At 47.1% G+C, this 24,109-nt stretch overlaps 2 long non-coding RNA genes and 3 pseudogenes across 4 annotated transcripts in view, besides 3 other annotated features; 3 read left to right on the top strand and 2 right to left on the bottom strand.

The window, feature by feature from the left end:
* The window catches only part of LOC105375330 (uncharacterized), a 29,588-nt gene extending 7,497 nt beyond the window's left edge, over nt 1-22,091 (bottom strand). Inside the window, exons 1-4 of one of the 2 annotated variants that reach the window (XR_001744932.2) lie at nt 22,024-22,091; nt 20,550-20,756; nt 14,706-14,794; nt 13,688-13,978 (exon numbers count right to left, since the gene is read on the bottom strand). This is a non-coding gene — a long non-coding RNA (uncharacterized LOC105375330). Of the gene's footprint in view, nt 1-13,687; nt 13,979-14,705; nt 14,795-20,549; nt 20,757-22,023 lie in introns of those variants that run through there. The other variant, XR_927607.1, reaches the window with a different exon arrangement.
* Nucleotides 4,190-4,397: a silencer, noted in NCBI's record as "fragment chr7:64480738-64480945 (GRCh37/hg19 assembly coordinates)". NCBI's record gives its function as "represses an EF-1alpha promoter that drives an FKBP-Casp9 reporter gene in an ReSE screen in K562 erythroleukemia cells {active_cell/tissue: K562}" and the evidence as "EXISTENCE:reporter gene assay evidence [ECO:0000049][PMID:32094911]".
* Nucleotides 7,034-7,140, bottom strand: RNU6-1229P (RNA, U6 small nuclear 1229, pseudogene; annotated as a pseudogene).
* On the top strand, nt 10,570-13,256 carry LOC105375329 (uncharacterized). The gene is made up of 3 exons (XR_927606.2): nt 10,570-10,708; nt 12,339-12,554; nt 13,077-13,256. It is a non-coding gene; the product is annotated as an uncharacterized LOC105375329 (long non-coding RNA).
* Nucleotides 17,858-18,058: a silencer, noted in NCBI's record as "peak6535 fragment used in MPRA reporter construct". NCBI's record gives its function as "represses an SCP1 promoter by STARR-seq MPRAs in K562 erythroleukemia cells {active_cell/tissue: K562}" and the evidence as "EXISTENCE:reporter gene assay evidence [ECO:0000049][PMID:32103011]".
* Nucleotides 21,822-22,131: a silencer, noted in NCBI's record as "silent region_18198". NCBI's record gives its function as "represses an Ori minimal core promoter by ATAC-STARR-seq in GM12878 lymphoblastoid cells {active_cell/tissue: GM12878}" and the evidence as "EXISTENCE:reporter gene assay evidence [ECO:0000049][PMID:35858748]".
* On the top strand, nt 21,932-22,409 carry LOC441241 (vitamin K epoxide reductase complex subunit 1L1 pseudogene; annotated as a pseudogene).
* Nucleotides 22,184-24,109, top strand: part of CCT6P3 (chaperonin containing TCP1 subunit 6 pseudogene 3) — a 36,360-nt pseudogene continuing 34,434 nt past the window's right edge. The window contains exon 1 of the transcript NR_033416.1: nt 22,184-22,395. The product of NR_033416.1 is annotated as a chaperonin containing TCP1 subunit 6 pseudogene 3 (transcript). The remainder of the gene's footprint in view (nt 22,396-24,109) is intronic.

The raw sequence follows: 24,109 nt of genomic DNA on the forward strand, positions 1-24,109 counted from the left end.
TTCATTCCTTTGATGCTGGAGACAATGACCTCTGTCTCCTCATATGTCTGCTCAAGACTGTTACAAACAGGGTGGAGTGTCTCTTAGTCTAGGAGCTTGGGCTGCTCTGGAGTTTGCACAAACACAAATAATCATCACAGGCTCTCAGGCCATGTGTCTTGGTTATGACACAAAACAGCCCTTCAGCAGTGGACGTCTACATACTGGAAGTTCCCAAACACCTCTTTTTTTAAAAAAAAATATAGAGACAGGGTATCACTATGTTGCCCAGGCTGGTCTCGAATTCCTGGCCTCAAGAGATCCTCCTGCCTCAGCCTCCCAAAGTGCTGGGATTACAGGTGTGAGCCACTGAGTCTGGCCCTTTTTTGTTGTTGTTTTTAGACAGGGTCTTGCTCTGTCACGCAGGCTGGAGTGCAGTGGCATGATTACAGCTCACTGCAGCTTCAAATTCCTGGGCTAAAGTGATCCTCCTGCCTCACCCTCCTGAGAAGCTGGGACCACAGGCATACAGCCACACCCAGCTAAGTAAAAAAAAAAAAAAAAAAATTTCTGGAGACAAGGTCTCACTATATTGACCAGGCTGGTCTTGAACTCCTGATCTAAAGCCATCCTCCTGCCTCCGCCTCCCACCTTGAACCCCTCTTTTCCCCAGTTTGAAAATGAAATCCACACTTTGAGAAGGAGGAACAAATGGGGAAGACAGGAAGCCAAGAAGCCAACCAGGCTTGCCTGACTAAACACTAAATCCCTCACATTGGTTTTACTTCAATGATACAGCTAATTAAGGGTTGTTGATTTTTTTAAGTTCCTATTTGGCAAGTGAACAGTTTCTTCCTCAGTAAATTTGAACATCAAGTATCTGTTCTGTGATTGAATGAAGCAAATATTTTACACATGGGAAACAATTGTTAAATGATTGTATTATAGAAAGGGATGAACGGGACGGGGGCAATGCAGAGGCGGATGTCAGTGCCTGTGTCCCTGTGCTCCCCACCCACCTCCTCTGTCCCTGCTCCCCATGGTGTTTGTCAAGGGGCATAGTGCGCTGAAGGAGGGGTTACCAGGTGGAATATCCAGAAGACATCATTCTCGGCTACATGGAATCCACTTACTTTGATCTAATTTCTTTACTCATAGAATTCATTAAACATTCACATCAGCAGCTTCTGAATATCTAAGCCAATTGTTAAACATAGTGATGTTACTGGATTCTTAAAACAAGCTGGAGGCCGGCCGGGCACAGTGGCTCACACCTGCAATCCTAACACTTTGGGAGGCTGAGGGTGGATCATCTGAGGTCAGCAGTCAGAGACCAACCTGGCCAACATGGCGAAACCCCATCTTTACTAAAAAAAATACAAAAAAATTAGCCGGGCATGGTGGCAGGCCTGTAATCCCAGATACTCTGGAGGCTGAGGCAGGAAAATCGCCGGAACCCTGGGGTCAGAGGTTGCAGTTAGCCGAGATCGCACCACTGTACTCCAGCCTAGGTGATAGAGCGAGACTCCGTCTCAGAAAAAAGCAAAACAAGTTAGAGAAGGGTTTTTTTTTTAACTTCATTTTGAAATTGTGAAGACAGGCAGTGAGAGTGAGTGAGTTGTCCAAATTCAGGCCGCAAGCTGGAGAGCATGCGATTCCTGGCCTTTTGCAGCCAGAGTGTGTGGGCCAGCTGTGTGGTGGTGTGCACTCCCCTCTCCGTCTGGTATATGGCAGTATATATGGTATATACGGTATATGGCACTACCATATACCAGGTCTGGCCTTGTCACCTGGAGACCTGGGAGTCTTCTTTTGTTTTCCCTGACTTTTGTCACCAGATCTGCTTACTTACAAGTCCCGTTGGTTGTGCCCCTCCCAGCCTTTCCCGTCTTCCTCCTTTTTATCTTGGTCATTATTTCAACCCAGCTAGAATCATATCTGGCCCAGATTACTGCATTAGTTCCTAGTTGGAGTCCTTTAAACTCTCTTTTTTAAAAAAAGATGGCTGAACATGTGGTTCCTGCCTGTAATCCAAGCACTTTGGGAAGCTGAGGCAGGAGGATCACTTGAGGCCAAGAGTTCAAGACAACCCTGGGCATCAGAGTGAGACCCCCATCTCTACAAAAAAAATTTAAAGTTATCTGGGTAAAGGAAATAATGTATACAGTGGTCCATTTCCAAGACAAAGTGCCTTAAATCAGATTAGGTCAGCAAACTACAGAAGAAACAGGGTATACACGGCTCGGCATGGTGACTCACACCTGCAATCCCAGCACTATGGGGGGCCGAGGTGGGTGGATCATGAGGTCAGGAGATCAAGACCATCCTGGCTAACACGGTGAAACCCCGTATCTACTAAAAACACACACAAAAAAATAGCTGGGCGTGGTGGCGGACACATGTAATACAAGCTACTCAGGAGGCTGAGGCAGGAGAATGGCATAAACCTGGGAGGCGGAGGTTGCAGTGAGCCGAGATTGCGCCACTGCACTCCCACCTGTATGACAGAGCAAGACTCCATCTTAAAAAAACAAACAAAAAAAACCACCTAAAGCTCCTACCCAACAACCAATAGGTGACATCCAGGAAGATTGTGACCCCATAGTACTCAGCCTATGTATAAGGAAATGGGAGGGACCTGCACACAAGAGGATAAATTGCTTGTTGAAACTGTTCTGAGTGTGCCTGCCTATCAGACACCCGATCCTGCAAGACCATCGTTAAAAGTCTTACTTTCGCTCTTCTCTGGGTATCCGAGTCCATTCTTTGTGTTTGGACAGGGGAGATTGTTTCTCACACTGGGCGCGGTGGTGCAACCTCCACCTCCCGGGTTCAAGTGATTCTCCCTTCCTCAGCCTCCCGAGTAGCTGGGACTACAGGCACCCACCACCATGCCCAGCTAATTTTTGTATTTTTAGTAAAGACGGGGTTTTACCATGTTGGCCATGCTGGTCTTGAGCTCCTGATCTCAGGTGATCTGCCTGCCTCAGGCTCCCAAAGTGCTGGGATTACAGGTGTGAGCCACCGCCCCTGGCCCAGTTGTGAAGTCTTATACAGAGTATCAGTCAGTCAATGTTATTCCCTGGTTTTGAATGTATTTGTTTTACTTCAATAGTAAGTTGCTGGGCACGGTTGGTCACGCCTCTAATCCCAGCATTTTGGGAGGCTGAGGCAGGTGGATCACTTGAGGTCAGGAGTTTGAGACCAGCCTGGCCAACATGGTAAAACACTGTCTCTACTAAAAATACAAAAATTAACCAGGCACAGTGGTGGGTGCCTGTAATCCCACCTACTTGGGAGAGTTTGAGGCAGGAGAATCACTCAACCCAGGAGGCGGAAGTTGCAGTGAGCTGAGATCATGCCACTGCGCTCCAGCCTGGGGGATAGAGTGACACTCTGTCTCCAGGAAAAAAAAAAAGAAGGGAAGTTGTATCTAGAGGAATTAAATGAAATTTGATGCTAAGAGATAAAGGGAGAAAATTGAGAGTGTAAAGAAGCAACATTTAAAGAGTTTAGCTGGTGTTTTTATCAGAAATAGTGTTTCTTGGACTCTTCTCCATTAAAAAAGTGGCCAGGTATAGTGACTCATTCCTGTAATCCTAACAATTTGGGAAGCCAAGGCAGGAGAAAAGCTTGAGGCCAGGAGTTCAAGACCCAGCCTGGGCAACATAGCAAAACTCCGTTGCTCCAAAAAGGATGTTTTTCAGATTAGCCGAGTGCAGTGGCACACACCTGTAGTCCCAACTTCTTGGGAGGTTGAGGTGTGAGGATCACTTGAGCCCAGGAGGCAGAGGTTACAGTGAGCCAAGATCTCACCACTGCACTCCAGCCTGGGTGATAGAGCAAGGCCCTGGCTCTAAAGGAAATTTTAAAGATTGCCCTTGGAATTAAGATTAATATGTATTCCCTGTGGTTTCCAGGGTATCAAGAAAAAAAAAAAGGAGGCAGAAAGACAGAGAAGAAGAAAAGGAAAATTTGAGCAAGAATGGAAGAAGGGCTGTTTGTGGTGGCTCATGCCTATAATTTCAGCACTTTGGGAGGCCTAGACGGGCGGATCACCTGAGGTCAGGAGTTCGAGACCAGCCTGACCAACATGGCAAAACCCCATCTCCACTAAAAATACAAAAATTAGCAGGCATGGTGGTGGGTGCCTGCAATCCTAGCTACTCAGGAGGCTGAGGCAGGAGAACCATTTGAAAACAGGAGGCGGAGGTTGCAGTGAGCTGAGATCATGCCATTGCACTCCATCCTGGGTGACAGAGCAAGATTCTGTCTCAAAAAAAAAAAAAAAAGTTGTCTGAGCCCGGGTGCAGTGTTTCATGCCTATAATCCCAGCACTTGGGGAGGCTGAGGCAGGCAGATCATTTGAGGTCAGGAGTTTGACACCAGCCTGGCCAACATGGTGAAATCCCATCTCTACTAAAAAATACAAAAATTAGTTGGGCATGGCAGTGGGTGCCTGTAATCCTAGCTACTTGGGAGGCTGAGGAAGGGAGAATCACTTGAACCCAGGAGGTGGAGGTTGCAGTGAGCTAAGATCGCGCCATTGCTCTCCAGCCTGGGTGATGAGTAAAACTCTGTCTCGAAAAAAATTAAAATAAAAATAAGTCAGTAAAATAAATAAATAAAAATACAAAAATTAGCTGGGCGTGGTGGTGGACACCTGTAATCCCAGCTACTTGGAAGGCTGAGGCAGGAGAATCACTTGAACCCGGGAAATGGGAGGTTGCAGTGAGCCAAGATAGCTCCATTGCACTCCAGCCTGGGCAACAAGAGTGAAACTCCATCTCAAAAAAAAAAATTTTTTTAAATATATATATAGTGAGAGAGAGACAGAGAAAGTTTACCTCTACTTGATGAGCCAAGTCTCTTCAGTGTGTGAAAAATAAATGCTTTTTTTTTTCAGGCACCCCAGACTTCTGGGAAAGGACCTTGGAGCTGTGCCCAAGCATCCCAGCCTTTGCCCTCAATTGCAAACAGAGTGGAGTGTCTCTTAGCTAAGAAGTTTGTGCTGCTCAAGGGTTTGCACAAATACAAAGTTGAGAAATACTCCTTGCTGAAAGGGGTGTAAAAGGCAAAGGACAAACCGGTTGTCCTCTGAAGTGGAGACATTTCTATTCTATGTTGGGCTATGATCTTGGAGAATGCAGGCAAGGAACGAGTTTCGCTGGTTTTTCAGTGAGAGACCCCTTGTAGTAAGAGAGGCTCTTCTCTCTCTACCTGGTGAGTTATTTTCATCTCTTTGGTACCCATTTCCTCATGTTTAAACTTAGGAGTGAAACCACACGTCCCCTAAGATCCTTTTCTCTTAGCTGTTCTGTGAGTTAATTAATGAGATTTGTTTTCCCATTAGCATATATCCAAAAAGGTAATCAGGATAGGTTTTCCATGTTTCCTGGAATCTTGTAATTGCCCCAAATGAAGTGGGAGTATTTGGAGGAGAATCCCTTCCTTGCTTCCTTTATTTCATTTTTAGAGACAAAATCTCTCTGTCACCCAGGCTGGAGAGCAGTGGTGCAATCCTGGCTCACTGCAACCTCCAATTCTTGGCCTCAAGTGATGCTCCCATCCCAGCCTCTGGAGTAGCTGGGACAACAGGCTCACACCACCATGCCGAGCTATTTTTTTTTTTTTTTGAGACCGAGTCTCGCTCTGTCGACCAGGCTGGAGTGCAGTGGCGTGATCTCGGCTCACTGCCTCACTGCAAGCTCCGCCTCCCAGGTTCACGCCATTTTCCTGTCTCAGCCTCCTGAGTAGCTGGGACTACAGGCACCCGCCACCATGCCCAGCTAATTTTTTGTATTTTTAGTAGAGACAGGGTTTCACCATGTTAGCCAGGATGGTCTCGATCTGCTGACCTTGTGATCCGCCCGCCTCGGCCTCCCAAAGTGCTGGGATTACAGGCGTGAGCCACCACACCCGGCCAACCAGCTAATTTTTAAAATTATTTTGTTGAGACAGGGTCTCACTATGTTGCCCAGGCTGGTCTCAAACTCCTGGCCTCAAGTGATCCTTCTGCTGCAGCCTCCCAAAGTGCTGGGATTACAGGCATGAGACATTGTGCCTGGCCCTTCATTGCTTTTTAATAACCTTAATTCTTTTGAATATCTTTAGAACTACAGTGGTTTTGTCTTTTGAGGCTAGAGTTGATTTCCATAAATAGTCATTTTGAGCCAGGTCTTTTGAATAAAGTGAGTGGCCAGAGAAGATGCCACAACTTTGGCGAAAAGAGTTTCCCAAGGATTACACCATGAACTCTAAAATGCTGTGTGCCGGTCACTGGGCCACAGTTCACTCTTCTTGCCAAATTCAGAATTGCAGATGAGAACTTTATTTTATTTTATTTTATTTATTTATTTAATTTTTTAGACAGAGTCTTGCTCTGTCACACAGGCTGGAGTGCAGTGGTGTGATCTCAGCTCACTGCAACCTCCGCCTCCCGGGTTCAAGAGATTCTCCTGCTTCAGCCTCCCATGTAACTGGGATTACAGGCATGTGCCACCATGCCCAGCTAATTTTTGTAGTTTATTTATTTATTTATTTATTTATTTTTTGAGATGGAGTCTTGCCCTGTCACCCCAGCTGGAGTGCAATGGTGCGATCTCAGCTCACTGCAACCTCTACCTCCTGGGTTCAAGTGATTCTCCCTGCCTCTGACTCCTGAGTAGCTGGGATTACAAGTGCCCACCACCACACCCGGCTAATTTTTGTATTTTTATTAAAGACAAGGTTTCACCATGTTGGCCAGGCTGGTCTCAAACTCCTGATCTCAAGTGATCCGCCCGCCTTGGCCTCCCAAAGTGCTAGGATTACAGGCATGAGCCACGGCACCTGGCCTAATTTTTGGACTTTTAGTAGATACAGAGTTTCACCATGTTGGTCAGGCTGGTCTCCAACTCCTGACCTCAAATGATCTGCCCACCTTGGTCTCCCAAAGTGCTGGGATTACAGGCATGAGCCACTGTGCCCGGCCGATTTTTTCTGATATCAAAGGAATCACCAAGGTCTTCCCTTTCTTTTGATTCATTTATTTTCTTGGTTCTGAAATATTTTTTAAAATATGGAATGCTTCATGAATTTGTTTGTCATCCTTTCACAGGGACTATGCTTATCTTCTCCATGTCATGCCAATTTTTGTATATGTGCTGCCGAAGTGAGCACTGGTTCTGGATTGATTGATTGATTTGTTTGTTTATCTGTTTTTGAGACAGGGTTTCACTGTGTCTTCCAGGCTGGAATACTGTGGTATTATCGTGGCTCACTGCAACCTCTGCCCCCCAGGGCTCAAGCAGTCCTCCTGCATGGGCCTCCCAAAGTGTTGAGATTACAGGCATGAGCCACTGTGCCCAGCCTGGAATGTTTAACTGCTGACTTTGATGCCTGGTTTTGGTTGTACTAGACATTCCCACTACTTTTTTCTTTAAAAAGTACTGGTTTCTTTAGCTCCTTAAAAAGATCTTTGGTGTTTTATATATCAAAATATGTGAGGCCAGGTGTGGTGGCTCATGCCTGTAATCCCAGCATTTGAGGAAGCCAAGGTGGGAGGATCTCTTGAGCCCAAGAGTTCAAAACCAGTCTGGGCAACATAGTGAGACCCCTGTCTGTATAAGAACTAAAAAATTAGCTGGGCACGATGGTGCATGCATGTAGTCCCAGCTCTTGGAAGGCTGAGGCAGGAAGATCGCGTAAGCCCAAGAGGGTGAGGCTATAGTGAGCCATGATCATGACACTGCAGTCCAGCTTGGGTGACAGAGTGAGACCCTGTCTCAAAAAAAAAAAAAAGATTAATAATTGCAGAAACATTTTCTATGCTCCAGATTACTTTAAAAATTGGACCTAATCTTGGCCAGGCATGGTGGCTTACACCTGTAATCAGCACTTTAGGAGACCAAGGCAGGTGGATCACTTGAGGTCAGAAGTTGGAGACCAGTCTGGCCAACATGATGAAAGCCTGTGGGTGAAAGTAAAGTTGGGTGCAGTGGCTCTCCCTGGATTCCTTGATGCTTTTAATACCCTGAGTCCTCTACCCCACTCTGAGCCACACTGACACTTGTGCACCAAGGTGCGTGGTGTGGCCCCAGTGCCCACAGGATCGCTTGTAAGAACTGCTCCTTCAGCCCCCACCTGTGGCCTTTCCTCCAGGGTGAAGTCTGGTTCCTGATGTTCACACCATGCTCCTTCTCACCAGGGTGCACGGGCATCACTGCCTACAAAACATTTGATTGAAACCTGTTCCTTGGGGGGCCACCTTACCTGTCCAGGATGGCTTTCTCTGAAGCCAGTTCTCCCACCACAGTGGGAAGTAAAGAAAATTATGAAAATTGGCCAGGCATGGTGGCTCATGCCTGTAATCCCAGCACTTTGGGAGGCCAAGTGGGACAGATCACTCAAGGTCAGGAGTTCGAGACCAGCCTGGCCAACATGGCAAAACCTGGTCTCTAATAAAAATACAAAAAATTAGTCAGGCATAGTGGTGTGCACCTGCAATCCCAGCTTCTCAGGAGGCTGAGTCAGGAGAATTGCTTGAGCCTGGGAGGTAGAGGTTGCAGTGAGCTGAGATCATGTCACTGCACTCCAGCCTGTGCGACAGAGCAAGAGACTCTGTCTCAAAAAAAAAAAAAAAAAAAAAGAAAAGAAAAGAAAAAGAAAATTATGAACACTCTCTCTTGAATACATGGGCATCTCCTGAACAGGGAGGTGGTTGAGGGGAGGTCCTGGCAGGTGGGACAGGGAATCCTGGCAGAGCAGCAGCTGGGACTTCAGTGTATTCAGTGTCTGGACCACAATGGTTCCCTTTGTCACAAGTATCCATCTACATTCACTGACTTATATGGGGGAACCTGGGGAAAAACCAGTGATATGGTTTGGCTGTGTCCCCACCCAAATCTCATCTTTAATTTTAGCTCCCATAATCCCCACATGTTGTGGCAGGGACCCAGTAGGAGGTAATTGAATCATGGGAGTGTGTTTTTCCCATGCTGTTCTCATTGATAGTGAATAAGTCTCAGGAGATCTGTTAGTTTTATAAAAGGGCAGTTCCCCTGCACATGCTTTCTTGCTTGCCACCATGGAAGATGTGCCTTTGGTCTTCCTTTGCCTTTGGTCATAATTGTGAGGCCTCTCCAGCCATGCTGAACAGAGTCCATTAAACCTCTTTCCTTTATAAATTACCCAGTCTCAGGTATGTCTTTGTTAGCAGTGTGAGAATAGATGAATACAATCAACTTCAACAGCTTAAGTGGGTCTAGCCACCACTCCAGAAGAGATACAGGATTATAAACCATGGTGGCATCCACACAGTGCTAACTCAGCATATGTGCAGAGTATATGAACTGTGGGGCTATGGTGGGCTCCACCTAGATTTCTTTCTTTTTTCTTTTTGAGATAGAGTCTTGCTCTGTTGCCCAGGCTGGAGTGCAGTGGCTCGATCTCAGCTCACACTGCAAGCTCCACCTCCCAGGTTCACACCATTCTCCTGCCTCAGCCTCCCAAGTAGCTGGGACTACAGGTGCCTGCCACCACACCCGTCTAATTTTTTGTATTTTTAGTAGAGACGGGGTTTCACTGTGTTAGACAAGATGGTCTCGATTTTCTGACCTCGTGATCCACCCGCCTCGGCCTCCCAAAGTGCTGGGATTATAGGCATGAGCCACCGCTCCCAGCCCTCCACCTAGATTTCAAAACATGTATTGAACAGCTGGGTGCCTCAGGCAGAAGTTTGTCACAGAGGTGGAGCTCATGCCTGTAATCCCAGCACTTTGGGAGGCCGAGGAGGGTGGATCACGAGGTCAGGAGATCGAGACCATCCTGGCTAACATGGTGAAACCCCATCTCTCCTAAAAAAAAAAAAAAAAAAAAAAAAATTAGCTGGGCGTGGTGGCGGGCACCTGTAGTCCCAGCTACTCAGGAGGCTGAGGCAGGTGAATGGTGTGAACCCAGGAGGCAGAGCTTGCAGTGAGCCGAGATATAGCCACTGCACTCCAGCCTGGGTGACAGAGCGAGACTCCATCTCAAAAGAAAAAAAAAAAAAAAACTTAGCTGGGTGTGATGTCGGGCACCTGTAATCCCAGCTACTCAGGAGGCCAAGGCAGGAGAATCGCTTGAAATCAGGAGGTGGAGGTTGCAGTGAGCCGAAATTGTGCCATTGCACTCCAGCCTGGGCAACGAGCAAAACTCCGTCTCAAAAAAAAAAAAAAAAAAAAAAAAGTGGCCGGGCGTGGTGGCTCATGCCTGTAATCCCAGCACTTTGGGAGGCCGAGGAGGGCGGATCACGAGGTCAGGAGATCGAGACCATCCTGGCTAACATGGTGAAACCCCGTCTCTACTAAAAATACAAAACATTAGCTGGGTGTGGTGGCGGGAGCCTGTAGTCCCAGCTACTCGGGAGGCTGAGGCAAGAGAATGGCGTGAACCCGGGAGGCGGAGCTTGCAGTGAGCCGAGATCCTGCCACTGCACTCCAGCCTGGGAGACAGGGCTAGACTCCGTCTCAAAAACAAAAACAAAGAAAGAAAATGTCTGCCTTATATCTGTCCTACCATTGAATTTTGGAGGCACCTTTTTTTTTTTTTTAAATTTCACAGGCTCACAGCTGTTGCCTCAGAATGAATTGTGCGGTGGGTCTCATCCATATCTGATTTAGATAGGACTCTGAACTTTAAACTTTTGAGTTGGTCCTGAAACAAATTAAGACTTTTGCAGCTATTGGGATGGAATGAATGTATTTTGCAGGTGAGAAGGACATGAATTTGGGTGGTTGGGGCAGAATGCTATGGTTTGAATATATCCTCCAAAGTTCATGTGTTGGAAACTTAATCCCCAATGCAACAATGTTGAGCGGTGCAACCTTTAAGAGATAATTAGGTCAGGAAGACTTTGCCTTCAGGAATGGATTAATGTTGTTATGGTGGGAGTGGGGTTCATTATGATGCGAGCGAGTTTCTTATGAAGGATGAGTTCTGCCCCCTTCCTGCTCTCTCTCACCATGTGATACTTTCTGCCATTGTCTGATATAGCAAGAAGGCCCTCACCAGATGTAGCCCCTCTACTCAGACTTCCCAACCTCCAGAACCCTGAGTCAAATAAATTTCTGTTCATTATAAATTACCTGTTATAGCAGCACAGGATGAACACAAGTGCCTCTGAATTATTCACCCTGGAGAGAAGAAACTGGTTTAAAAAATGCAGATATTTTAGTGTCTCCCAGAGCTCTGAATCTAAATCTCTGGATATCTAAACCTCTGGACATGTAATTTTTAACAATTTTCCTGGTGATTCTTAAGCACTTCAAATTTGAGAACTGCTGCTCTATACCCAATATCATTTTAACCTGGAAAATATGCACTCACCAACCGTTCAATGTTATTACCTGAGTTTGCCTGATCTTAAAGGTCACTAGAGGGCTTGATAAAAAACCAAACACCGAATGTTCTCACTCATAGGTGGGCACTGAACAATGAGAACACATGGACACAGGAAGGGGAGCATCACACACCGGGGCCTGTTGTGGGGTGGGGGGAGGGGGGAGGGATAGCATTAGGAGATATACCTAATGTTAAATGACGAGTTAATGGGTGCAGCACACCAACATGGCACACGTATACATATGTAACAAATCTGCACGTTGTGCACATGTACCCTAAAACTTAAACTGTAATAAAAAAATAGAACTAAGAAGTTACATAGTATAATATGCCATGAAAGTAAATGTATTTAATAAGGGAAGAAATGGAAAATATCAAATAAAGCAATATAATAATTTCAAAAAAAATACATATATATATACATTGTTAGGTAGCTCTGCTGGTGGCAATCATGAATAAAACAAAGCCCAAGAGTTTACATTTATTTATTTATTTGCTCTTTTTGAAATGGAGTCTCTGTCACCCAGGCTGAAGTGCAGTGGTGTGATCTCAGCTCACTGCAACCTCCACCTCCTGGGTTCAAATGATTCTCTGGCCTTAGCCTCCTGAGTGGCTGGGATTACAGATGCCCGCCAACATGCCCAACTAATTTTTGTATTTTTAGTAGAGACAGGGTTTCACAATGTTGGCCAGGCTGGTCTCAAACTCCTAACCTCAGGTGATCCACCCAACTTGGCCTCCCAAATTTCTGGGATTCGAGGTGTGAGCCACCATGCCCAGCCAAGAATCTACATTTAAATGCAGTTGTTAAATGTTCTTCTAAGTAACTGTGTACACATTTATCTATTTTGTGGAATTACTGGAAGATAGATCACTTACATTTTGGATAGCTTTAGCCCAGTATGATAATTTTAGTTTTTGAATAGCAGTTTATTTTAAGCCATTGCTTCCAGAAGAATTTAATCTGATCCAATGTTGCATTTTTCTTTCACCCATAGAGACAAGAATGAAGATAATAGCTATAGCATTTATTGAACATTAACTATGTGCCTGTCACCATGTAACTGATTCTCCTCAAACCCTCAGAGGCATGGACCACTGTACTACTGCCATCCCCATTTTATGGAGAAGATACTGAGGCAAAGGGGAGTTAAGTACCTTGCTAGGCACAGGCAGTTATTAACGCGGTAGAGCTGGGATTCCAAACCATTCTTGTAAGCAACGCAACACTGCGTCTCTGGACTTAATCCAGACCAATTTCTCTGATGCTCAAAAGTTGCCTGCATTAAATGCGCTTTTGTGAAATTCCTTCCTTCCTTCCTTCTTTTTTTTTTTTTTGTTTTGTTTTGAGATGGAGTCTCTCTCTGTCACCCAGGCTGGAGTGCAATGGCACAAAGTCCGCTTACTGTAACCTCCACCTCCTGGTTCAAGCGATTCTCCTGCCTCAGCCTCCCGAGTAGCTGCAATTATGGGTGCCCACCACTACACTCGGCTAATTTTTGTATTTTTAGTAGAGACAGGGCTTCATCTTGTTGGCCAAGCTGGTCTCAAACTCATGACCTCAGGTGATCTGCCTGCTTTGGCCTCCCAAAGTGCTGGGATTACCGGCGTGAGCCACCACGCCCGGCCAAAATATATTTCTTATATAAAAGAGAAAGTTTTCCTTGTGTTGTGTTCTACTCATGGTTAAAATGTTCCTAAAATGGGCCTTGTTGTTTTCTCTTCTTCTTCTCTAGAGCAGCTAGAAAGAAAGACACTTGTTCTTAACCCAAAGAGGCCTCTTCTAAAAATGTTTTCTATATTGGTGAGACTAATTAAACTGGAAAAGTTCATCAACTAAATGATGAAACAAGGTAAAGCCTTTTGTTAATTATTTTTGAATAATTTATTCCTGGCCTGCCACCGTGGCTCACGCCTATAATCCCAGCATTTTGGGAGGCTGAGGTGGGAGGATCACGAGGTCAAGAGATCGAGACCATCCTGGCCAACATGGTGAAATCCTGTCTCTACTAAAAGTACAAAAATTAGCTCAGTGTGGTGGCACATGCCTGTAATCCCAGCTACTCGGGGGGCTAAGAAGGGAGAATCACTTGAACCTGGGAGGTAGAGGTTGCAGTGAGCTGAGATGGTGCCACTGCACTCTAGCCTGGCGATAGAGTGGGACTCCGTCTCAAAAAAAAAATTATTCCTGGGCTCCCTATGACTTGTTGAGGAATTGCAAGATACTGGGAAGTCTCTAATTAGGGAGTTTTAGAATAAACAGAAGTATAAACATTCATAGGAGTTAGATTTGAAGACAACTGCTTTTAACACACAGACCCACCAGGAAGTGAGCATCTTGGTGGGGTTTATTTATTATGTGTTTTACTTTGAACAGAGAACATGCACGTTCATTAGCTCAAAAGTGTTCTTGTCCTCGCATAGTGAAGGAAATGTGTGCAAGATAAGGATGAATGTGGTATGCAGGGAGATCCAGGCACGGCTGGCGTTTGGCTTTGCTGATGGCTGCAATGTGGACTGTGGACTGTGGGCAAATTAACTCACCACTTTTTGAATGGCCTTTAGAGAGGAAATCCTAAAAAGATTCCAGGACTTGCAGCAGCCACACAGGAGATTGAGTATTCAAGGGAATAGAATGCTGAAGAACACAGAGACAGTTAGGTTAACTAAAGAAGATGAAAAATTAGTCTGGGCTCAGTGCTTCATACTTGTAATCCCAACACTGTGGGAGGCTGAGGCAGGAGCATCACTTGAGCCCAAAAGGTTGAGGCTGGCCTGAGTGACATAGTGAGACCCCCATCTTTACAAAAAATAAAAAGAAATCAACTGGGTACGGTGGCACGCACATGCGGTCACAGCTACTCAGGAGGCTGAGGTGGGAGAATCGCTGGAGCCTGGGGAGGTGAGACCCTGTCAAGGAGGAAGAGGAGGATGAAGAGGAAGAAGGAGGAGGAGGGGGAAGAGGAGGAGGAAGAAGGAATAGAAGAAGAGCTGGGTGCGGTGGCTCATGCCTGTAATCCCAGCACTTTTGGAGGCTGAGGCGGGCAGATCATGAGGTCAACAGATCAAGACCATCCTGGCCAACATGATGAAACCCTATCTATACTAAAAATACAAAAATTAGCTGGGCATGGTGGCTTGTGCCTGTAGTCCCAGCTATTCAGGAGGTTGAGGCAGGAGAATCACTTGAACCCAGGAAGCAGAGGTTGCAGTGAGCTGAGATTGTGCCACTGTGCTCCAGTCTGGTGACAGAGGGAGACTCCATCACTAAAAAAAGAAAGAAGAAGGAGAAGGAGTAGGAGAAGAAGAAGAAGAAGAAATGGTCTCTGAGCAGCCATGAAGAGTAGGAAGATAACCCAACCTACCTCTCACTGGGTCTATGGGGAAAATATTGATTAAGGCAGAGCAGGTCTTCACAGAGAGACTAGGTTTGGTGAGTAAGAGATTCAAAAAGCTAGAAGGGAATGAGGATATTTAAGTTACTCTTATTGCATAATATATAACCACAAAACTTTAGGTGCTTAAAATAATCTTTTTTTTTTTCATGGTTCTGGGAGTTGACTGGGTTCAGGTAGGTGATTTTCACTCGAGGTGTCTCATGCTGTTGCAGTGGCTGGGGCTGGAATCTTCACAAAGCCTTCTTCAGTCCCATGTCTGGCAACTGATGTTGGCTGTCATCTGAAACCTGTGCTGGGACTGTTGATTGGAACATCAAAATGTGGCCTCTCCCTGTGATCTGGGCTTCCTCACAGCATGGTAGCTGGGTTCAAAGAGCAAGCATCCCAGGAAGACCACGGAGAAAAGATGTCTCCTTTTATGACCTACCTTGAATCACTTCTGCCAGTCACAGACCTTCTTGAATTCAAGGGAGAGGAGCATAGGCCTGACCTCACCATGGGAGCAATGTTAAAGTTATGTTGAAGAAGAGCACATGCTATTATTATTATTATGTCTTGCTCTGTCACCCAGGCTGGAGTCCAGGTGTGCAATCTCGACTCACTGCAAATTCCACCTCCCAGATTCAAGTGATTCTCCGGCCTCAGCCTCCCAAGTAGCTGGTATTACAGGCACATGCCACCACACCCAGCTAATTTTTGTACTTTTAGTAGAGACAGGGTTTCACCATGTTGGCCAGGCTGGTATCAAACTCCTGACATCAGGTGATTCACCCGCCTAGGCCTCCCAAAGTGCTGGGATTACAGGTGTCAGCCACCACACCTAGCACATGCTATTAGTAAAAAGTCAGAAAACAGTCAGGTGAGATGGCTTGCACCTGTAACCTCGCACTTTGGGAGGCTGAGGTGGGCAGGTCACTTGAGGTCAGGAGTTCGAGACCAGCCTCGGCAACATAATGAGACCCCCCCCATCTCTATAAAAATAAAAAATTGAAAGTCAGAAAACAAAAGATGTTGGTGAGGGTTCAGAGAAAAAAGGAACACTTATACACCGTTGGTGGGAATGTAAATTAGTACAACCATTACAGACAACAGTAGGGAGATTTCTCAAAAAACTAAAAATAGAACTGCAATCCAACCAGCAATCTCACTACTAGGTATCTACCCAAAGGGAAAGAAATCAATATATCAAAAAGTACCTGTACTCATACGTTTATCACAGCACTATTCATAGTAGCAAAGATATGGAATCAACCTAAGTGTCCATCAACAGATGACTGGATAAAGAAAATATGGTACATGTACGCCACGGAACATGACCTAGCCACATAAAGAATGAAATCATGTCTTTTGCACCACTGTGGATAGAACTGGAGGCCATTCTCCTCAGTGAAATAATTCAGAAACAAAGTCAAATACTGAATGTTCTCATGCATGGGAGTTAAACAATAGGTACACATGGGGAGCAATAGATATTGGAGACTCCAAAAGATGGGAGGATGGGAGGAGGGTGAGGGGTGAAAATTTCCTATTGAGTACAATGTTCACTATTTGAATCATGGCTACACACAAAGCCCAGACCTCAGCACTCCACAATATATGCATATAGCACTCCACAATATTTGCCCCTGGTCCAGTTGTGAAGTCTCATACAGAGTATCAATCAGTCAATGTTCTCCCTTGGTTTTGAATGTATTTCTTTTACTTCAAGAGTAAGTTGTCAAGCGTGGTGGCTCACACCTGTAATCCCAGCACTTTGGGAGGCCGAGGCGGGCAGATCACTTGAGGTCAGGAGATCAAGACCAGCCTGGCCAACATGATGAAAACCTGTCTTTACTAAAAATACAAAAATTAGCCAGGCATGGTGGCAGGCACCTGTAGTCTCAGCTACTCAAAGGCTGAGGCAGGAGAATCTCTTCAACCTGGCTGATGGAGGTTGCAGTGAGTCAAGATCACACCACTGCACTCCAGCCTGTGTGACAGAGCTAAAAAAAATTTTATAAAAATAAAAATAGCCCTCTCCCTCTCCCTCTCCCCACGGTCTCCCTCTCCCTCTCCCCATGGTCTCCCTCTCCCTCTCTTTCCACGGTCTCCCTCTGATGCCGAGCCAAAGCTGGACTGTACTGCTGCCATCTCCACTCACTGCAACCTCCCTGCCTGATTCTCCTGCCTCAGCCTGACGAGTGCCTGCGATTGCAGGCGCGTGCCGCCACCCCTGACTGGTTTTCGTATTTTTTTGTGGAGACGGGGTTTCGCTGTGTCGGCCGGGCTGGTCTCCAGCTCCTAACCGTGAGTGATCTGACAGCCTCGGCCTCCCAAGGTGCCAGGATTGCAGACGGAGTCTTGTTCACTCAGTGCTCAATGTTGCCCAGGCTGGAGTGCAGTGGCGTGATCTCCGCTCACTACAACCTCCACCTCCCAGCCGCCTGCCTTGGCCTCCCAAAGTGCCGAGATTGCAGCCTCTGCCCGGCCGCCACCCCGTCTGGGAAGTGAGGAGCGTCTCTGCCTGGCTGCCCATTGTCTGGGATGTGAGGAGCCCCTCTGCCCGACTGCCCAGTCTGGGAAGTGAGGAGCGCCTCTTCCCGGCTGCCATCCCGTCCAGGAAGTGAGGAGCGTCTCTGCCTGGCCGCCCATCGTCTGAGATGTGGGGAGCGCCTCTGCCCCACCACCCTGTCTGGGATGTGAGGAGCGCCTCTGCCCGGCCGTGACCCCGTCTGGGAGGTGAGGAGCGTTTCTGCCCGGCCGCCCCGTCTGAGAAGTGAGGAGCCCCTCCGCCCGGCAGCCGCCCCGTCTGGGAGGTGAGGAGTGTCTCCGCCCGGCAGCCGCCCCGTCCAGGAGGGAGGTGGGGGGCAGCCCCCGCCCGGCCGCCACCCCGTCCGGGAGGTGGGGGGCCCCTCTGCCCGGCCGCCCCTTCTGGGAAGTGAGGAGCCCCTCTGCCTGGCTGCCACCCTGTCTGGGAGGTGTACCCAACAGCTCATTGAGAACGGGCCATGATGACAATGGCGGTTTTGTCGAATAGAAAAGGGAGAAATGTGGGGAAAAGATAGAGAAATCAGATTGTTGCTGTGTCTGTGTAGAAAGAAGTACACATAGGAGACTCCATTTTGTTCTGTACTAAGAAAAATTCTTCTGCCTTGGGATGCTGTTGATCTATGACCTTACCCCCAACCCGGTGCTCTCTGAAACATGTGCTGTGTCCACTCAGGGTTAAATGGGTTAAGGGCGGTGCAAGATGCACTTTGTTAAACAGATGCTTGAAGGCAGCATGCTCGTTAAGAGTCATCACCACTCCCTAATCTCAAGTACCCAGGGACACAAACACTGCGGAAGGCCGCAGGGTCCTCTGCCTAGGAAAACCAGAGACCTTTGTTCACTTGTTTATCTGCTGACCTTCCCTCCACGATTGTCCTATGACCCTGCCATATTCCCCTCTGCGAGAAACACCCAAGAATGATCAATAAAAAAATAAATAAATAAAAATAAAAATAAATAAATAAAAAATTTAAAAAACACATGGGATGGCAGAACTTGTTGCAGCCACCTTGGAATATAGAATTTGCCACAGAGGGCAAGTAGAAAGTATGTCAGAGTTTAAGATTTCAGAAATCTAGCCATCCAAAAGGATCACAAGAGCCATTCCTGTGGCGGCTTTGAGGAGTGGAAGCAAAGGTCATCAGAGCTGAGAAAGACGTGGGATGATGAGTCAGGCGAATTGCATGCTCATCCACATGGATGCTGACATCCTCAGGAAAGCAGAAGGACTTCAGATAACAGAGGGCAAAACAAGATTTCATTCTTTTTTTTTTTTTTTTTTTAGAGACAGGGTCTTTCTCTGTCACCCAGGCTGGAGTGCAGTGGCGTGATCTTAGCTCACTGTAGCCTTGAACTCCTGGGCTCAAGCAATCCTTCCGCCTCGGCCTCCTGAATAGTTAGGGCTACAGTGTGTGCCCCCACGCCTGGCTAATGTTGTATTTTTATTTTTTGTAGAGATGGGGTCTTGCTATGTTGCCCAGGCTGGTTGATAACTCCTGGCCTCAAGCGATTCTCCCACATTGGCCTCCCAAAGCATTGGGATTACAAGCGTGAGCCACTGTGCTCTGCCTCAAAACACTCTTTTAAAAGCTTTTGTTTTTTTTTTCTGGAGTGGTGAAATAATTAATCTCTGTGGTGAGGACTTCCTTTTTATTTGGGAAAAGATATTTGCTGTGGGCCTATTGTTTCTGCAAAAATACTAGTAGCTAACATTTTTTGAGTGCCCATTCATTCATTCAAAATATATATATGGGGGCCAGACATGGTGGCTCACACCTGTAATCCCAAGGCCAAAGCGGGTGGATCACCTGAGGTCAGGAGTTCGAGACCAGCCTGACCAATATGGTGAAACCCCATCTCTACTAAGTACAGAAAAAAAAAAAAAAAGCCAGGCGTTGTGGCACATGCCTCTAATCCCAGTTACTTGGGAGGCTGAGGCAGGAGAATCACTTGAACATGGGAGGTGGAGGTTGCAGTGAGTCGAGATTACATCATTGCCCTCCAGCCTGGGCAACAAGAGCAAAACTCTGTCTCAAATTAAAAAATAAAAATAAAAATAAGTGAGGGCTTATGAGGCATCAAAGGTCATTTATAGAATGTTGTTAGCAATTTAATTCATGATAGCTAAAAATGGGCCAGATGTCCATCTGTAGTAGAATGGACAAGTAAAATTGTGGATATCTACTATAATGGACTATTATACAGTAATGAAAAATAACAATCACTATTTGCAATAGCATGGGTAAACCTCCCAGACCTATTGATGAAAGAAGCCAGATGATCAAGAGATCTCATCAACTGAGTAAAGGAATCTATAAGAAGGGAAGATGCAGGAGTCCACTTAGATTTATTAAAATCATTAGGGATGTAGAGTAAGGTTTTTGTTTTTTGTTTTTGTTTTTGTTTCTTAATCAGTGTGTCACTCTGTCATCCAGGCTGGAGTGCAGTGAGGCAATGTTGGCTCATTGCAGCCTCAGTCCACACCCCTGCCCCAAGCCCTCTGGGCTCAATCAGTCCTCCCCCTTCAGCCTCTCAAGTAGCTGGAACAACAGGCATGCACCACACCTTGCTAATTTTGTATATATTTTTGCAGAGACCAGGGCTCCCTATGTTGCTCAGACTGGTCTTGAACTGCTGGCCTCAAGCAATCCTCCTGCCTCAGCCTCTCAAAATGTTGTGAGCCACCCCACCCGGGCAGAGCGAAGATGTTTTTGAGGACTGTGGTAGATAGCTTCCTCATATTCATGTCCTGTGTAATCCTCTCCCTCTGAGCATGGGCTGGACCTAGGAACTATTTTCTTTTTCTTTCTTTCTTTCTTTTTTTTCTTCTTTTTTTGAGATGGAGTTTCTCCTTGTAAGCCAGGCTGGAGTGCAATGGTGTGAGCTCGGCTCACTGCAACCTCCACCTCCCAGGTTCAAGTGAGTCTCATGCCTCAGCTTCCCAAGTAGCTGAGTTTACAGGCATGTGCCACCACATCCAGCTAATTGTGGTATTTTTAGTAGAGACGGGGTTTCACCATGCTGGTCAGCTGGTCTCGAACTCCTGACCTCAGGTGCTCTACCCACCTCGGCCTCCCAAAATTCTGGGATTACAGGTGTGAGCCACCATGACTGGCTGGACCTAGAGACTATTTTCTAAGTAGCAATAGACTACGTAAAAGTGATGGGATGTCACTTCTGGGATTAGGTTTCAAAAAAGGACTGTGATCTCACTCTCATTTTCTTTTTCTGTCTCTTCCTCTTTCTCCTCCCTCTCCCCGGGGTAAGCCTGCTGCTTCTTACCAAGAGGTGGAAGTGGACAGGAAATGATGTCTCCAGCCAACAGCCAGAGAGGACCTCAGGCCTGCCAGCAGCAGTGGAAGTGAGTTTGAAAGAGGATTCTGAAGCCTTGAGAGAGCTGCAGCCCTGGCTGACAGCTTGATTGTATCCTCATGAGAGCCTGAGCCAGAGGACACAGCTAACCTCACCCAGATTCCTAGCCCATGGAAACTGTGAGGGAAAAAAAAGTTTATTGTTTATTAACTGCTAAATTTGGGGTGATTTTTACCCAAGAATAGATAACGAATACAAGGATATTGCTTATTACTCAAAATCACTATATAAAGCCCCTGAAAAATTGAAAGCTGCAACCAGGGAAACACTGAAAATCTCCAAGAACACTGTGTTTCTTCTTAAAGACAGTGAGAAAAAGCACATACATCTGTTTTCCTTTTAGTGTTGGCCACCAGGAAGCTCAGAGCCAAATTTATGATGCAATTTTAATAACTATGTAAGCCCCTATGGCCTGCTTATCTGTGTTCTTATTCCTGGCCTTTCATTTTATTCTGACTTTTCTTTTTCTTCATCCTGATTGTATTAGCTCATCTTTATTTTTCTATATTATATGAGTTATGGTAAGCAACTTCAAATTCAGCTTACGGAGAAGCAAGGCATTCGTAAATCTTTTTTTTTTTTTTTTTTTTTTTTTTCTGAGACTCTTACTCTATCGCCCAGGCTGGAGTGCAGTGGCACGATCTTGGCTCACTGCAACCTCCACCTCCCGGGTTCCAGCAATTCTCATGCCTCAGTCTCCCGAGTAGCTGGGATTAGAGGCGCCCACCACGACACCGGGCTAATTGTTTTTGGTTTGTTTTTTGTATTTTTAGTAGAGACGAGGTTACACCATGTAGGCCAGGCTGGTCTTGAACTCCTGACCTCAAGTGATCCACCTGCCTCGGCATCCCAAAGTGTTGGGATTTGGCGTGAGCCACTGTACCCGGTCCATGAATCATTTTTTAAAAATAGTTTTTAAATTTAAAACATAGTTTTGCACATTAAAAAAAAAAGTTTTGCACAGGTCGAACAGAGTGTCCCCGGAGGTGGTGGTGGGAAGATCAGGTCATAGGTGTGTGTCTCTGGAGCTCCAAGCACTGGCCAGGGTTGATTTGGATTGGGTCAGAAAAATACAACGAAAAAAGGAAAAAGGATGGCAATTGATTGCCATCCCCAGAGGGAGGGGCCGAGGGTTCGCCCAGTCACCCACAGTGGCATCCTTGCAAGGTGCTAGTTGCACCGCTCCTCTAAGTCCCTCCCGCACTGGCGCGCTCGGCCCCGCCCCTACCCTGCCCCGCCCCTGCCCCACCCCTTTCTCCCCCGGGCTCCACCCCTCGCGCGCGTCGCCTCAATCTCCGCCCGCAGATCCGGCCTCCCCGGCGGTTGCGCACTCCGCCCCCACCCTCCGCGCCCGCCCGCTCTTTCCCCGCCCCGTCCAGCTCACTCCTTTCGGGGCGGTTGGGCCGCGCGCCTGTGGGGGCGGGGCCCGGAGCAGGCGACCGAGCCAATGGGGCGCGGCGGCGGCCGCGGCAGCTGGGTCGGGTCCCGACGGGCGGCGGCGGCTGAGGTGGAGGCGGAGGGAGGCGGTGGAGGCGGAGGGAGGCGGTGGCGGCGGCGGCAGGATGGCGACGGCCGTCCTGCTGAGCGTGTCGGTGCCGCGGTGGGAGCGGGTGGCCCGGTATGCAGTGTGCGCTGCCGGAATCCTGCTCTCCATCTACGCCTACCATGTGGAGAGGCAGAAGGAGCGGGACCCCGAGCACCGGGCCCTCTGCGACCTGGGGCCCTGGGTGAAGTGCTCCGTCGCCCTTGCCTCCAGGTAGCCGGCTTTGGGGAGTGGGCCGGGAGCGGCCGAGCGGGGCAAGGGCGGAGTCTCGGGGTGGGGAGCGCGCGGCGGGAGCTCAGGCCTGGGGGCGGCGGGGACCGGGCCGCTGGGGAACTTACGGGGTCGGGTCGGGGCCGGGTGGGGGGTGGCGGCGGGGCGCTCCTGCCCGGGGGGCGGCATGAGCCCAGGCCGCGGGGCGGAGGTGGCGGGGCCGCGAGGCAGCCGGGGAGGGATGAGGTGGCAGAGTGCAGCCGGGAGGCCGGGGCGGACGCGGAGCGGTCGGGTGGGCCGGGGCCGGGCTGGGCAGGAGCGCGAGGGGGCTGCGGAGGGTGGGTGCAGGCTGGCTTGACAGGTTTCCTGGTTCTCGGGAGGCGGGCCGGGGGTGTGGGACCTTGTCCGCCGCACCCGTGAGACCAGCGGCAGCGGGCCTCTTGTTCCCCCGATCGCTGCAGCCGAGGCTTTGGGGCCGGCGCGGAGACGGGGTTGCCTTTCCCACTGTTTTCCTGGTGCTAGGACAGGTGTTTCCGTGGTCAGGCCTCTTTGCACTCCAGCGCTAGTGAGAATTTGCAGACTTACTGGGACGGTGACATTAGCTGGCAAACACAAATTTGACCCTACTGTGGAAGAAGATACCAGCACTTAACATATCTGATTTCTTGGATTCCCTCTCGTATGTTTCAGTGTGCCAGGAGAAGGAAATGGTCTGAGTTTGGGTCTAGTTTAAGCTTCATTGGAGTAAAGGACAAGTATGTTATGTATATGGCGGTGTTTTAGGCATTGGGATGACTTTTAAACGTTGTTGCCTATTAGTATAATAGGATACCCACAACAGATTAAAAACACACCCTTTGCTAAACTGGAGCGATTGGTTTGTGTTACTCATCATTTTAGTTTTTTCTTTAATGTTGTAATTGGTTTGTCTGTTATGTTTTATTTTAATGCATTACATTTTCCTAGGCAAGTTACTTTGAAAAAGGGGGGAATTTACTTTTAAAAGTGGCTGCTTTTTTTTTAATGGGGCGATTAAAAACATAAAAGTCGAAGGAATGATTTCAAAATGGATAGGTTACGATTTTAATAGAGACTATGTCTGATATTTAGATGTTTGTTAACAGTAGTCACATTTGAGCGATTTCTTCCCCTCCTGTTGATTGGTAAATTGGTATATATCAGAAATGTATAGCTCACTAGTTTATTTCAACTCATATATTGTTGATTACATGAACAAGGTAGCATTGGAGTTTCTCTTGTTATTGGTTACAAACTTCAGGGAACTGATCTTTCCACTTAGCCTTTTTCATGGACCAGATACTCTGTCTCATTTGCTCTTAAACCAAAATCCTTTCGCTTTTTAGAGGGGAAATAATTATCATAGGGCCAAATGGAACATTTTAAAAATGCATTTAAAATGTAGGTATCAGTTTACAGGGGAAAATGCATAGATGTGACAAAAAGCTCACATTTGTTGTTGGTTATTCAGAACAAAGTTAATAGGCTGATTAGACTCTCAGATACGCTTTGAGAACCATTGAGTGTCTTTTATGCAAACATTGTTATGTTATTTCCACTTTCAGAAAGGACTTTTAAACTTACAAGTACCTTCCACCCAAAGTTAGTTGAATGAATAAATATTTAAGGAAAACATTATGCAGCAGCACATTTCAAGTATTTTAAGAAACAAGAAGAACTAAAAATGACTTTTGATCCT

The sequence above is a fragment of the Homo sapiens genome, chromosome 7, assembly GCF_000001405.40.
Source record: "Homo sapiens chromosome 7, GRCh38.p14 Primary Assembly".
Taxonomy (NCBI): Eukaryota; Metazoa; Chordata; class Mammalia; order Primates; family Hominidae; genus Homo; species Homo sapiens.